At 38.9% G+C, this 14364-nt stretch overlaps 1 protein-coding gene across 18 annotated transcripts in view; it reads left to right on the top strand.

Annotated features, from left to right (window-relative positions):
* The window catches only part of FRMD4B (FERM domain containing 4B), a 373805-nt gene extending 363086 nt beyond the window's left edge, over positions 1–10719 (top strand). For 10 of the 18 annotated variants that reach the window (XM_047447767.1, XM_017005991.2, XM_017005989.2 and 7 more), the window contains 3 exons: positions 2845–2977; positions 6368–6459; positions 7520–10719. In XM_047447767.1, coding sequence (XP_047303723.1) covers positions 2845–2977; positions 6368–6459; positions 7520–7635 — 341 coding nt within the window. In that variant the 3' untranslated portion in view covers positions 7636–10719. The remainder of the gene's footprint in view (positions 1–2844; positions 2978–6367; positions 6460–7519) is intronic. The other 8 variants (XM_017005993.2, XM_047447771.1, XM_047447769.1 and 5 more) reach the window with 1 other exon arrangement.

The following is a 14364-nucleotide window of genomic DNA, read 5'->3' as shown; positions in this document are numbered from 1 at the left end:
ACATATGAAAGGGCTTCGGTAATTATTTCTTATTTATGGCTCTGACCTAGAAAACACCTTTCTTCCTCTTAAAGTTCAAGATGTGAGAAACTTTCACAGGTCAAACCTGGGCAGAACAGACAGAGTACTACAAGGGAAAGACCAAACAAGGAGGGCTGAGATGCATGTGGATGGTCACTACGGCACAGGGCTGGGGTGGTGCCTGGGGGAAGCAGGTGTTAACTGAGGAAACTCAACATTCCTGGCTGCTAGCTTAGTAAAGGTGAAATGGAGGTAAAGCTTCCTGTTTCAGACCTGGTGTGAGCCTTGCTGACACCAGCAAGATGTGGCCCCACAGACCAAAAGGCATCACTCTTTAAAGAACTACAGGGGTGGAATCAGTACTCCCAGAATTCCCTGCTGGAATTCCCCTCATTTCTGTCTCCACTTTAAAACTGCAGAAATGTATTACAACAGGCAGGCGTCATTCTCATGGAGTGATAAATTTCCAGTTATTTGCCAGATTAGTCCTGGCATTGTAGTCCCTTCCAGCCACCTGAAGGATCTCTCGGTGACTCAGTTTTAGTAATGACAACTACCATTTGTTGGCAGCTTACTAGATGCCATGCACATTCAGAACATTACATGCACTCTCCTATTTAATGTATGCAACAGTTCTATATAGTGATTGCTATTGTTATGCTTATTGTTATCATCCTAATTTTGCAGCTTAGGCAACTCTGGCTACAGAGTTTAAATAACCCAAGTTCCAAAGCTACTAAGTGGTGGGATGGGGATTCTGGGGATTCTGTCCTAGCTCAGCTCCTTTTTTTTTTTTTTTTCTTTTTTAAAGAGACAGTCTCAGTCTGTCACCCACATTGGAGTGCAGTGATACTATTATACCTCACTCAGTCTCAAACTCCTTGGCTCAACGCGATCCTCCCTCCTCAGCCTCCCAAGTAGCTAGGACTACAAGTACACACCACCATGCCTGGCTAATTTTATTTTTTTGTAGAGACTGGGCTCTGTTTCCCAGGCTGGCCTCTAAGCCCTAGCTGCAAGTGATCTTCCCACCTCAGCCTCCCAAAGTGCTGGGATTACAACCATGAGCCATCACACCCAGCCCCACAGCTCTAACATCTTAACCACCAAGGCTTAGAGCCTCTGATTTCAGTTTGGAAATGGCTTGGAAGCTCAAACTCAGAGTGTTACATCTGTTAGTCAACACCTCATGACATCCAGGGCCACAGATGAGTTTTGAAATGCGTTTGTCCCATAGTGATCACAGGCACTTTGTGTGTATGAGAGAGAAGAGGAGTAGGTCTGAAGCCAGAAACAGGAAATGGAAAAAGGGCAGTGCTGGTTTTTGAGTCTTGAACGAGTATCATGGCGTGTGGTTATCTTGTCCATCCTAGGCGTGGAGCAGAACTGGTTTTATAGAGAGGACAACAAACGCCCAGTGATGAGGCATTTGTTGGGCTTCGCTCCCAAATTATGTCCTTGTCTTGTTCCAGTTCAGTTCCTCTGTAGAACTAAATCCCTTCTTCCTGAATTCCTTCCTGTGCTACTTACCACCTCGCCTCTTCCCCCAATCCACACCCCAACACATACACACTTTTTTTTAAGACAAAAAATAGCCTTGATCTTGCTAGCGGCCAGTGTTGTCTTTGGCTGAGGAATAGTCAAGTCTCAATAAGTCAACTTATGGAACACATTTCCTCCAAGGCCTCTGACAAACCCAGACTCATCACCTTACCTTTATAACACCATAGCGTGAATGGGAAGATTCTCGCAATATATGAGAATTGTTTTCTTGCTTGTCTTTTCAGTTATTTTAAAAATTATTTATGTGTTATTATTATTTTCTTTCTTGGGATAGGATCTCACTTGGTGGCCCAGGCTGTAGTGCAGTGGTGCAAACATGGCTCACTGTAGCCTTGACTTCCAAGGCTTGAGTGATCCTCCCACCTCAGCTTCCCAAGTTGCTGGGACTACAGGTGTGCACCACCATGCCAGGCTAATTTTTGTATTTTTTGCAGAGATGGGGTTTTGCCATGTTGCTGAGGCTAGCCTTGAACTCCTGGGCTCAAGCGTTACTCCCACCTTGACTTCCCAAAGTGTTGGGATTACAGGCTTGTGCCACTGAGCTGACCTGAAATTATTTTTATTTATTTATTTATTTTGAGACAGAGCCTCACTCTGTCACCAAGGCTGGAGTGCAGTGGTGTGATGTTGGTTCACTGCAACTTAAACTTCATGGGCTCAAGTATTTCTCCTGTCTCAGCCTCCTGAGTGGCTGGGATTATAGGCATGCGCCACCATGCCCAGCTAATTTTTGTATTTTTTGGTAGAGACAGGGTTTCACCATGTTGGCCAGGCTGGTCTTGAACTCTTAGCTTCAAGTGGTCCTCCCGCCTCGGCTTCCCAAAGTGCTTGGATTACAGGCATGAGCCACCACACCTGGCCCCAACCTAGATTATTTTTTGAATTGACAAATTTATCTTTCAATTAATCTTATTCTCAATAATAATATTAATAGTTATTTACTGAGTACTTTGTATCAAGTACAGTGCTAAAGATTTTCATAATTACCTTATTTAATCCTGGCATCATACCTATACAGAATATATTAATATTATTATCCCTACTCTATAGATGAGGAAACTGAGGCTTAAAGAGGATAAACTACTTGCCTAAGGTCACATAGCCAGGAAGTCACTAAATTGGAATAGGAACTCTGTTATTTCAAACCCTCTTAAATTTCTCCTCTGACAAAGCTGATTGCAATGTACCTCTGAATGACCTTAACAATTTTTCACTTTTAATATTTCCATTAATTTTATCTTTTTCCATTTTTATTTCCAGTGTCTTCTACAAATGCTTCTGGGAACTGGAGGACCCAGTTAACCATAGGGCTGTCGGATTACGAGACTCCAGCACATTCTTCTTACACCAGCTGCTATGGCAATGTCTATAATCCTTTACCCTCTCCAAGCAGGTGAGGAAGCAATGCTCGAAAATCCTAGGAGCCTGTTCCAGTTCAAAAGAATTCAGGGATCCTAATTTACAAACGTCAGATAATCTAGTTCAGGGGTTGGCAAACTCTAGCCTGTGGGCCAACTCCAGCTGCCATCTGTTTTGGTAAATAAAGTTTCATTGGAGAATAGCCACCCTCATTCACTTACATGTTCTCTATGGCTGTTTTTGCACTATGAGGGCAGAGCTGAGTAGTTGCACCAAAGCCAAAAATATCTGGCCACCATCAGCCAAAAAGTATCTGGCCTTTAAGAAAAAGTTTGCTAACCCCTAATCTAACTCATTCAGATTTGACCCTGGTCTTCAGTATTACATTGAATTCTTGTATATTTCCTCTAATGTTTACAAAGAACTACTTGCACAGACACCAAAGCCAAAAATATCTGGCCTTTAAGAAAAAGTTTGCTGCCGGGCACGGTGGCTCATGCCTATAATGCCAGCACTTTGGGAGGCCGAGGCGGGCGGATCATGAGGTCAGGAGATCGAGACCATCCTGGCTAACACGGTGAAACCCCATCTCTACTAAAAATACAAAAAATTAGTTGGGCATGGTGGCGGGCGCTTGTAGTCCCAGCTACTCGGGAGGCTGAAGCAGGAGAATGGCGTGAACCCCAGAGGCAGAGCTTGCAGTGAGCCCAGATCGCGCCACTGCACTCCAGCCTGGGCGACAGAGCGAGACTCCATCTCCGTCTCAAAAAAAAAAAAAAAAAAAAAAAGAGAAGAAAAGAAAAAGTTTGCTAACCCCTCATCTAACGCATTCTGTTCTTTAGTCTGTACATTGAATTCTGAGTCTGAAGCTTTTATTTTTTAAATTATGGTACTTGAAATCCTATTAGTGATATGTCCATTTAAGTCTCTTTTGAAACCTTGCAGGAAAAATCTCTCTACTCCAGGAAAGGCTGTTCATACCAAGGTTCCTTAGACAGTTGGTAGGCTGGATTTCAAACATTTGCTGCGTTTTTTATCTGATCCTATGTTTGTTATGAAGCAACAGACACAGCCAGCTGTCCTGTTTGTCTGTAAAAGTAGTTCTTTGTAAACATTAGAGGAAATGTACAAGAGCAATTTGTTAAAACTGATTTTTTAAAAAATTGCAAACTCTGAATTAGTTTTTAAAAAAATTCTTGTTATGCACAGGAATTAAGTTTGAAGAGGTCGTGTCTCCCTTTTACTTTCCCACAAAAGATAATCCACACCCATGGTACCAAGAAGTAGGGCATTTTCTCCTGTTTTTAGAATGTGTAGTTTTGATTTAAGTCATAGTGCTTCAGACACAGACTACATACTAAGTTATACAGACTACAACTTATAAAGGTTTCTATGCTGGTAAATTTGAGAATTTAGCAGTTTCTTATTAAGACACTCACTGTTACAATCAAATTGGAAATATTCAGCCCCAAATGCCTTTTTTTTTCCTCCGCATTCAGTGGGAGTTTTTCTTGGCTTCAAATATTAAGCCAATTGTCTCAGCTAAACAAAGGCTATACTCAAAATAGAATTTTAATGAAAATATACTTCAGAGGATGTCAAATAGCTTGGACTTCTGTAAATAATGTTTGAAAATGAGTTAGGAGCAAGAACCAAAATGACTGGCCTAAAATTTGAGCCTAGCCTTTTCAGTTTACTTCTAACCATTTTTTAATAATATATTTGCAAATTATTTTCGTGTTTGTGTAATTTTACTTGCCTTTTTGTTGACTCAGAAATGATTATACAGTTTTTGGTGCATTACTCAGTTCTCATATCCTTAACACTACTGTAATTGGACTCAGGAAGTGTTAAGCATTTTTAGAGAAAATCTGTTTTTACCAAGTCTGCTCATATATATCAGACAGCCCAAGATGGCTTGATAGGGGATCAGAGGGGTCATAACATACAGGAAATTAGAAGCTATTTAAAGATCCCTATTGTGTGTTTGTGTATGCGTGTGCATATATGAGCTCATGGTAGAAAATTTATAATAAAGAGATAAATAAGTAGGAAATAAATTAGCCATAATTCCACCATCCAGAGAAAGCAGCTGTTAACATTTTGGCATATTTTCCCCATTTTTCTCTGTCCACTTAACATGGTTATAATGATATTGTACATACAGTTTTACATCTTATGTTGTACATGAAATTCTACATCTCCATTTTTTTAAAAACTTAACATCATAACATAACCATGTTCCCATGTGTTTTAAAACTCTTTAAACCTTATTTTATATGACCAATATGATATTCCACTCAAATATACCCTACTTTACGTAGCAGCTCCTCATTTTTTGAAGTTTTTTTTGAGAGGCTTTTAGATTTTTCCTTCTTTTTTTTATAAAAGTACTGCAGCTATTTTTTTTTTTTTCTTCCCAAGACGGAGCCTTGTTCTGTTGCCCAAGTTGGAGTGCAGTGACACGATCTCGGCTCACTGCAACCTCTGCCACCCAGGGTCAAGTGATTCTCCTGCCTCAGCCTCCCAAGTAGCTGAGATTACAGGTGCATACCACCGCATCTGGCTAATTTTTGTATTTTTAATAGAGACAGGGTTTTGCCATGTTGGCCAGGCTGGTCTTGAACTCCTGACCTCATGATCCACCCGCCTCAGCCTCCCAAAGTGCTGGGATTACAGGTGTAACCCACGGCGCCCAGCCCAGTATTGCAGCTGTTAACATCTTTGTCCAAAATATTTGTCTGAATCCCAGATTATTTTCCTAGGATATATTCCAATAAGTAGAGTTAATGGATTAAATTGAAAAGTGTATTTTTTTAAGCTCTTGCCTTCCAGAAAGATTTGCAACTTTGCCTTTCCAGCCACGGAGATACAGAAGTACTTATTTCCATCCATTTGTTTATTTAGGATTCTTTTTAGGATACAGTCTGATCAATTTAACCTATTAACAGGGCAAGGATAATAACAATCATTCATAAAGCTTTATAAATTTGCTCTAAAATTCTGTAAATTGTTTTTATGAAATCATGATTTTTAAAATAAGAGAGAAATTAGGTGTTAACGATAAAAATGAAAAACTAGATTTTCCCGTTAAGCCAAAGATTTGAAATGCATAGCAATATATTAGTGTTTTGTTGTTTTTTTAAATAAAGTGTATATTATTTAAAGATCCTTTGCCCTAGAGTATCCGGGTCTTAAAATTATAGAAAGGTACTAATTTTTACCAATAAAATTTTTTTTCTAGTACAATTGGCATAATTGTCATTAGCATAAACTTTCCGAAGTAGAAATGTTGAAGCTACCTAGTATATAATACAGTCAAATTCTTGGCTCTACTGCTGCCAACTGTATTTTCAAATAACTTTTTTCTTTCACCTCCTATTTTCCATTCCCTTTCTCCTTTCCTATCTAACTCTATTACTAGGCAAAACCAAGGGCTTCTATCCCCAAGAATGGTTGTGTCTCCAGAAGTGAGATCAGTTGTAAATTCTCTTTTGCTAAGTGTAGCCAGCTGTAGTAAGTACAGTACCTCCAATCTGTGTGTTGCTTCTTGCATAGCAGGAGTTTTGCTTGCACTGACTGATGTGTGAAATTATGAAATCTGGCTTTGTTTTTTATGTTACATGAAAACACTAAAAACCTTTATTTCCAAAGCTCTTCTTCCAAAGACTTTAAAAAAAAAATCACCTTTACTAAAATACTTTGGAATGTAAAATAAAAAAGAAATCAACTAACTGTCTAATCTCTCTTAACCTACCGTTACAATAATGGGGTTTTGCTTATCGGAATGGTTTGTATGATAGGATGCTCTCATTTGGAATTGCCATCTAAATATGCGTATGATTTTTAAATGTGATGCTGTGTCCTGGGTCACTTCCAATTTATGCCTGACCCATAAACCCCAGGGATATCATATATGTCCCTATGTGCCCCTGCCACCTTCTAAATATATTATTTTGTCCCTGAGGAAAGCATCTAGCATATTCCCTCAATTCGAAGAGTACTTAAAATGTGATTGTCACAATATACTTTTTAAAAAGTTAAAAATATAGCTGTCACACAAGTAAAAATGGACATGGGCCGAAGATTTGTTTAACTCATTAATAAGTGAACTAGCAGGATGGTAAAGCTGGTTCAAAGAGACTCCGAGACACTGAAAGAGAGAATGTTGGAAAAGACTACTAAATTAGATACAAAACCAGTTAATGTCCTATAGTTCAATAAAACTGTAACCATAATCTTTTTTACTAGACAAGTTATTTGTATTTCTTTGAGACAAAAATCTACAAGTTAACATGTAACTTAATACAGTCTGGGTCCTGATCAATGAAACACAAGTTAAACAAAGGCATATCTTTCCAGAGAATTAAATAATCCTTTTTATGGGCCTGTTAAACAATGCTCCAGTATGACATTGAAAGAACATGCAGTCACCCTTCTCCTTTCCCTTATCTCTACATTTTGGGAAATTTTTCTTAACAGTGCTTCCTACTAACTTCTTTAAATGTAGTAGTCTTTGTGCTGTGGGGACAAAAATATGGCCACAAGTAGTAACTTTTCTGGTTTTCTTTAATAGACAATACACAGAAATCAGTCAACTGGATGGTACAGATGGAAACCAGCTGGAAGACAACCTGGAGAGTAGTGAGCAGAGACTCTTTTGGCATGAAGATTCAAAGCCTGGAACATTAGTCTGAACTGCAGTTGGACCTCCTGACCAAGCACTGCGTTCTCACACTAGTGTGCCTTGCAAATTGTATTTGTCTTCCGAGAGGATGTTCGTTTTAGAAACCTAAAGACATCAAAGGTTGAAGAGAAGACTTAGTTGCCCTGGAAGTGAATCAGTGAATCACACACCAAGCCCCACAAAGCCCCTAAAGGAGGATTTGGCCTTTCAAACTCTAGGCACTAACGTAACTGTAGGGTCTGCCCACATGTTGAAGTATTGCCAAGAGAGGACTCAGTGTGAAGCCTTCATCAATAGCAAGCACTTTTTAAGGGAGTAAAAGTTGTTAAAGGCAAACCTCAAAAACATGAAAGGGCATTCAGGATGTCCCATGGCAATAAGAACAGGGGAAATCTCAGAGCACAATTCAGCAGGATGAGAGAAGGGGAACCAGAAGCTCCGGAGTCATTGCTCACTTCAGAGTTTGAATTCGTGAGCTGACAAAGAGTAACATGCTCTTTCTACACAGACATGGACAATTTAGACAGTATTGGAAAATTACTTGAAGCTGGATTTTCATGAAGTTCTGAATGAGTGTAAATGTTTTTTAGGATACTATAAAGAGTGATGTTTTTCATAAGCACCATAAAATGGGTTCTGGAAAAACTGATTACCTTAGCATCCTGTAATATAACTTATGGTAGCAGATTGGGGAAAATGAAGCAGCCCACTGAATAATTGACAAAGTCTGCTTGGAGAACATTCTAAGGTACAATATCATGGAGCTCCTTTTTCCTTTCTCCACTAATTGCGTGATGAGCTATTGTTCTGGCTGTTAATTCTCCAACTCGGCTGTCATTTGAAGTGGCAGACTTAATATGGAAAGTTTTTATAATTATGAGTTTGAAAAAGCATTTTAAGATGATACAGAAAGTATCCAAAACAACAGAAAAAAAAAGCCACGTCATTTTAGATGAATTGCGTGCCTTAAAATGGTGAACGTTAGAAAATTAAACAAGTCTGGATTCCACAAGTAGTTCCAAGTCACCAAGTGACAAAAACAAGGTTAACATTAAAAAAGAAAAACAACAACAACGACAAAAAGCTCCAAGCTGCAGTGGATTTAATTATGAGGCTAAAACTACCTCATACTTTCCTTGGAAGAACTAATTAGCTATGGTTTATTGTAGGGTTTTGTTTGTTTGTTTTTTAAAGCAAATGATTTCCATATTCCAGATTGATCTTTTTTGTCATCTTTGCTTCAAAATTACATAAAAGGTGCTCCTTTCCCCCTTCTTTTATACAAGTTTCTTGTTCATATTGTGAATAGAAAAGTTTCTGAACAACTTTTTTGGAACATTTTCTATCTATATTCCAAAGCATGTAATATATACATAAAAACGATTTGTTAAACTGGTCCTTAGTCATTTGTATAATTAGAAATGAAGTTTGGGAAAAAATTTTGGAAAAAAGACAAGCAAAAAAAAATAACTTATTCCTTTTTTGCATATTTGTATAGCCTTCTAGAATCAGAAATAACCTTTTTGCATATTCTTTTATTGTTCTGACTTTTCAAGACCTATTATTTTTTTACATAGGTCAATAAACAAAAGGTGTGCTACTGAAAATGTTTACGTTTTCTTCCATTTATGTCAGGGGTTCATGTGAAGCAGGTCGCAGTGCTCTACTTCAAGTAATCATATTGGGCAAGGCTTCGGATTTTTATTTATAGTATTACCGTATTTTATTAATTCCGGGATGTACATTTTTAAATATTTACATTAAAAACATGGTTCATCTTTTTATTGATGGCATATTCTACTTGAATTGGCAGTTTTTTCTTAATAGTACATTAAAAATAATGCTGTGTCTTACAATAAAGTTGCCTTAGAATTGATGAAATGCGGTAGTTTGTCTCACTGAGGATGACTGGTGAGAACTTTTAGGTTTTTTAATCTTGGGAATGTTGTTTATTTGTAGCAAGTAATTTATACTAATTTCACAGACTGGCAAACAGGTCTTCTAAATTCAAGAAATTAGTTCTCTGACATCCTTTAATCCTACATAATGTGGAGAAGGGAGTGGAAATGAAATATATTTCCATACATGTATCTTGCATAAAATAACATTTTTCTGTTCCTGAAATAGTATGGTTACACTTGCAAGCATGCCTTGAAAGGGCAAATATAACTTGGCTCCCACAGAGGAAAAGAAGGTATAGAAATGGAAGCTCAGGGCCAGGCATAGCGGCTCACACCTGTAATCCCAGCACTTTGGGAGGCCGAAGTGGGAGGATTGCTTGAGCTCAGGAGTTCAAGACCAGCCTGGACAACATGGTGAAACCCCATCTCTATGAAAATACAAAAATTAGCCAGTCATGGTGATGTGTGCCTGTAATCTCAGCTACTTGGGAGGCTGAGTTGGGAGGATATCTTGAGCCCAGGAGGCGGAGGTTGCAGTGAGCCAGGATCGTGCCACTGCATTCCAGCCTAGGCAATAACAGACCTTGTCTCAAGAAAAAAAAAAAAAAAAAAAAAAGAAAGAAATGGAAGTTCAGCAATCCTACTGCACGGTTTTCTTCGTCTCTTTTGAAAAACATTTCTCAACCGCATTGGTATTAAACCAATTAAACTACGTTATTTATTAAAAGCCAAAAGTGACAAAAGTACATTATTCAACATGTACGTTTCCTCTTTTTTATTACAAAATACCATGGTTAAATGCAAAACCAAAATAGTACATAACAAAAACATAATCGTGCCCATTAGCCGAACACTCTCAGATATAATAGTTAATTTATTGTATATTTGTTTGGATTTTTTTCTATGCATATAGTAATTTTTTTAAAGTCCAGCATATTACAAGTACAGTTTTACAACATTTTTTTTTGTTTGTTTTGTTTTCTGCCTAATATATCTTGGGCCTCTGTATCAAGACATACTGATCTACCTCATAAAGATATATGTTTAACAAGGTGGATTTTTAAAATTGCCTCACCCTACTAGATGTTTATCTATTTTTCTATATTTGACAAAAATTTTCAAAATTCTTCCTTGTACTCACAAAAGCTTAAATATTACAAGAAATAAAGATTCCGGAATTGTTTTAAACTATTAGTTTGGTCTGTTCTTAGGAACAAAGGCTCAGACTAAAGAGTTACTACAAAGGTGAGTCCTTAAAGAGCTTCCAGAACTGGAAGAATGACTTTCTTCGGTACAATAGGCAAGTTTAGATTATTTTCTAGAGTAGTGCTTTTCAAAGTAGTGAAAGACCAATTTTTAAAGATTCCAATCCATTGTGTACCTATAGTTTTATAAAGTAAAATAAAAGCAAATTACTAGAGGAGAAAAGCTAATTCAGAAAAAAATTGCTAGATTATTGAAAAAACGTAAGAAAATACACATCCCTATGTATTATTAGATTCAGCAGACATAAAACTACTCTGTCAAGTTGGAATCAAAGTTTCTAAACACCAACTCTCAATTTCTGTACTTACCTTGCACCACGTTACAGACCACCCTTTAATAAGTGCTGACTTGGAGTTATGTCAAGGGAGGTACTTCATCCATGCTTATCAAGACAAGACAAACAGTAGTTGTCTCCTGTTATGTCACAGGGCATGGAGATGCAGTCCATTTCCAAAGACAAAATCTTTTGACATGTACACAAAGCCCAGAAGGTAATGAAAAGCTTCACTCCTTTTTCAGCTCAAAAGTTTAGCGAGCCTCTTACGTCCTGTTTCTCTCTTTTCTTCTGTTTTTTTTTTTTTTTTTTTTTTTTTTTTTTTTTTTTTAAGATGGAGTCTCGCTCTGTGGCCCAGGCTGGAGTGCAGTGGCACGATGTCAGCTCACTACAACCTCTGCCTCCCAGGTTCAAGCAATTCTCCTGCCTCAGACTCCCTAGTAGCTGAGATTACAGGTGTGCACCACCATACACGGCTAATTTTTGTATTTTTAGTAGAGATGGGTTTCACCATGTTGGCCATGCTGGTGTCGAACTCCTGACCTCAAGTGATCTGCCCTCCTTAGCCTCCCAGAGTGCTGGGATTACATGTGTGAGCCACCAGGCCCGGCCTGTTTCTCTGTTTTCATATGCCCCTCCTCTGGACTTCCCTGGGTCTTTTCTACTACTCTGTATCCCTTCCACCCCCATCCTTGTGCCACTTTGGAGTAGAAAAAAGAAAGTATGTCCTGCTGCAAAAACGAGTTGGCTTTTGTTGAATTCTAGTTCAATGTGCTCCAGGCTGGTGTGCAAAAGTGCTTTATATGTATTTTCTCATTTAATCCCCACAACAGCCTAATGGGGTGTATAGTGCTAGATAATCTCCATTTTACAGAGAAAGAATCTGAGAATTAGAAAGGTCATGTAATTTACCACTAGTAGGAGAAAAGCAGGAAGTAAATCCTGAGTTGGCATACTCCAAATACTAAACTATGAATTCCTCATTCCGTGAATGCTATCCAGGAACAACTTCTCCATAGGAAGAGTGAAAGTAGCAAACATAACTTTTTAAACGGATTAATGAAAATTGAATGTATACATGCTAAGCCCAGTTCTCCTTGCTCATTGTTACTTCTTAAAGGTAACAGTCCTAATTTTCTTTCATTTACTAGTGGCAGAAGGGCTGAGTTAGGTCTAAATCCAAGCACAGGTCAAAATAACCCTTACCTAGGAAACTACCCAGTTTCAGGTGGTGCCCACTGGGCTGAATTATTGATTGCTAGTGGATCAAGTACATTATTTATTTCTAGTGGATCAAGTACATTTCTTAAATTGTTTTCTAGTCAATAAAATGTCTTACCCTACTGAATATACTTGTTAAAATCACAGATAACGATAATGAACTAAATATTGATCAGTGACACTGTAAGTATCTATTGATCCTTCCCCATTTTGAATTGTTTAGGGGCAGTGTGATAATGTGAATTGTGAAATGCTCTTCTACAATGCCCTTGAGAAACCCTCTCAAAATTCAGCCCTATCAGATGTATGGACCTGTGGGCTTCACCTTGATTCTCTTTGGAAAGAGTGCATCTGAGATTAATCTCAGATTGGAATCTGAGCCCACCATCAGAGTGTCCTGATACCACTGTCATCCTTTTCTGCCTTTGATGATTCAGGGAGAATCTGTCACCTCTGCAAAAGAAAATAGGAAGTGTGCGAAAGATCCATTTTGGCAATACTTACCTGATTGCTCTTCTTAACACTAAACACACACACAAACACATTCTATTTCCTTTTGCTTTTGAATATCAGATGCCTTGGCAAGAATGGTGTACTGGGACTAGGAGGGGGATGGGAGTTCACCTAACTTCTGAGTTTCATATAATTTTCTCTTCTTGAATGGTTATAACATTCATGTGAAGTACCCAAGGTTTAAAAGATCTGTGATTTTTCAACTGGGACTGTACCACACCCTGTGGGGCATCTGGAGACATGTTCTGGCTTCTCCTAATGATTTGAAGGGAACGAGGATCATTAAATATACTGCACCTAGGTGTGGTGGCTCATGCCTGTAATCCCAGCACTTTGGGAGGCCAAGGCAGGTGGATCACTTGAGGTCGGGAGTTCAAGACCAGCTTGGCCAACATGGTGAAACCCCATTTCTACTAAAAATACAAAAATTAGCAAGGCGCGGTGGCATGCGCCTATAATCCCAGCTACTTGGGAGGCTGAGGCAGGAGAATCACTTGAACCCAGGAGGCAGAGGTTGTGGTGAGCCGAGATTATACCACTGCACTCCAGCCTGGGCAACAGAGCGAGACTCTGTCTCGAAAGAAAAAAACCATGTGTCCAACAAACATTAGGATACCAACTATGTGGCAGTCAGTCACTGTCCTAGTCACTGGGGATACGATGGTCCCTGCTTTCCTGAAGCTTACAGGCCAATAGGGGAGAAAAAGAAGTAACCTCTCTCAGTAAGTTAACATGACAATCCTATGAGAGCCAAGGGTGGTGAGAGGGGTGGGGAGCTATAGCTGAGATTGTAGGGACACAATGGGCCCCTTTGGAAAGGTGATGCTTAAGCTTAGACTTGAGGATTGGTAAGAGAAGATACAATTAAGCAAAAAGAATAGAAGCTCTCTAGGGTTTAAGAGAATGACATATAACATTCGCCAAGGCTGTAAAGCCAGGAGAAGCTTGGCCAGTTTTAGAAACTAAAAGAATGTGAAGACAGATTATTATGCCAGGATTAAAGAAATCTATCAAGGTAAGAAGACAGAAAGCTGCCATTTTTTACTTCTCACCATAAACAGTGGGTTACAGGCATACATTACCCATCTAATTCTCCCTACAACTGTGCAAGAAAAATGGTCTTATCCCCAGATGAGGATATAAAAAGGGAGGTTCAGAAAGTTTAATATTCCTTTGGTTACATGGCCAAACAGTAAGTAAGTGGTAAAGCTAAAATTCAAACCTACGTCTGTTTGGCTCCACATCTCATGTTATTTGATTTGATTTGATTTGATTTGATTTGATTTGATTTGATTTGATTTGATTGAGACAGAGTCTTGCTCTGTTGCCCAGGCTGGAGTACAATGGCATGATCTCCGCTCAATGCAACCTCTGCCTCCTGGGTTCAAGCAATTCTCCTGCCTCAGCCTCCCTAGTAGCTGGGATTACAGGCACCCGCCACCACGCCCAGCTAATTTTTGTATTTTTAGTAGAGACGGGGTTTCACCATGTTGGCCAGGCTGGTCTCAAACTCCTGAGCTCGTGACCTGCCTACCTCAGCCTCCCAAAGTGCTGGGATT

The sequence above is a fragment of the Homo sapiens genome, chromosome 3 (genome assembly GCF_000001405.40).
Source record: "Homo sapiens chromosome 3, GRCh38.p14 Primary Assembly".
Classification (NCBI taxonomy): domain Eukaryota; kingdom Metazoa; phylum Chordata; class Mammalia; order Primates; family Hominidae; genus Homo; species Homo sapiens.
The sequence above is the reverse complement of the archived record's forward strand: the minus strand, read 5'-3'. Positions and strand labels throughout refer to the sequence as shown.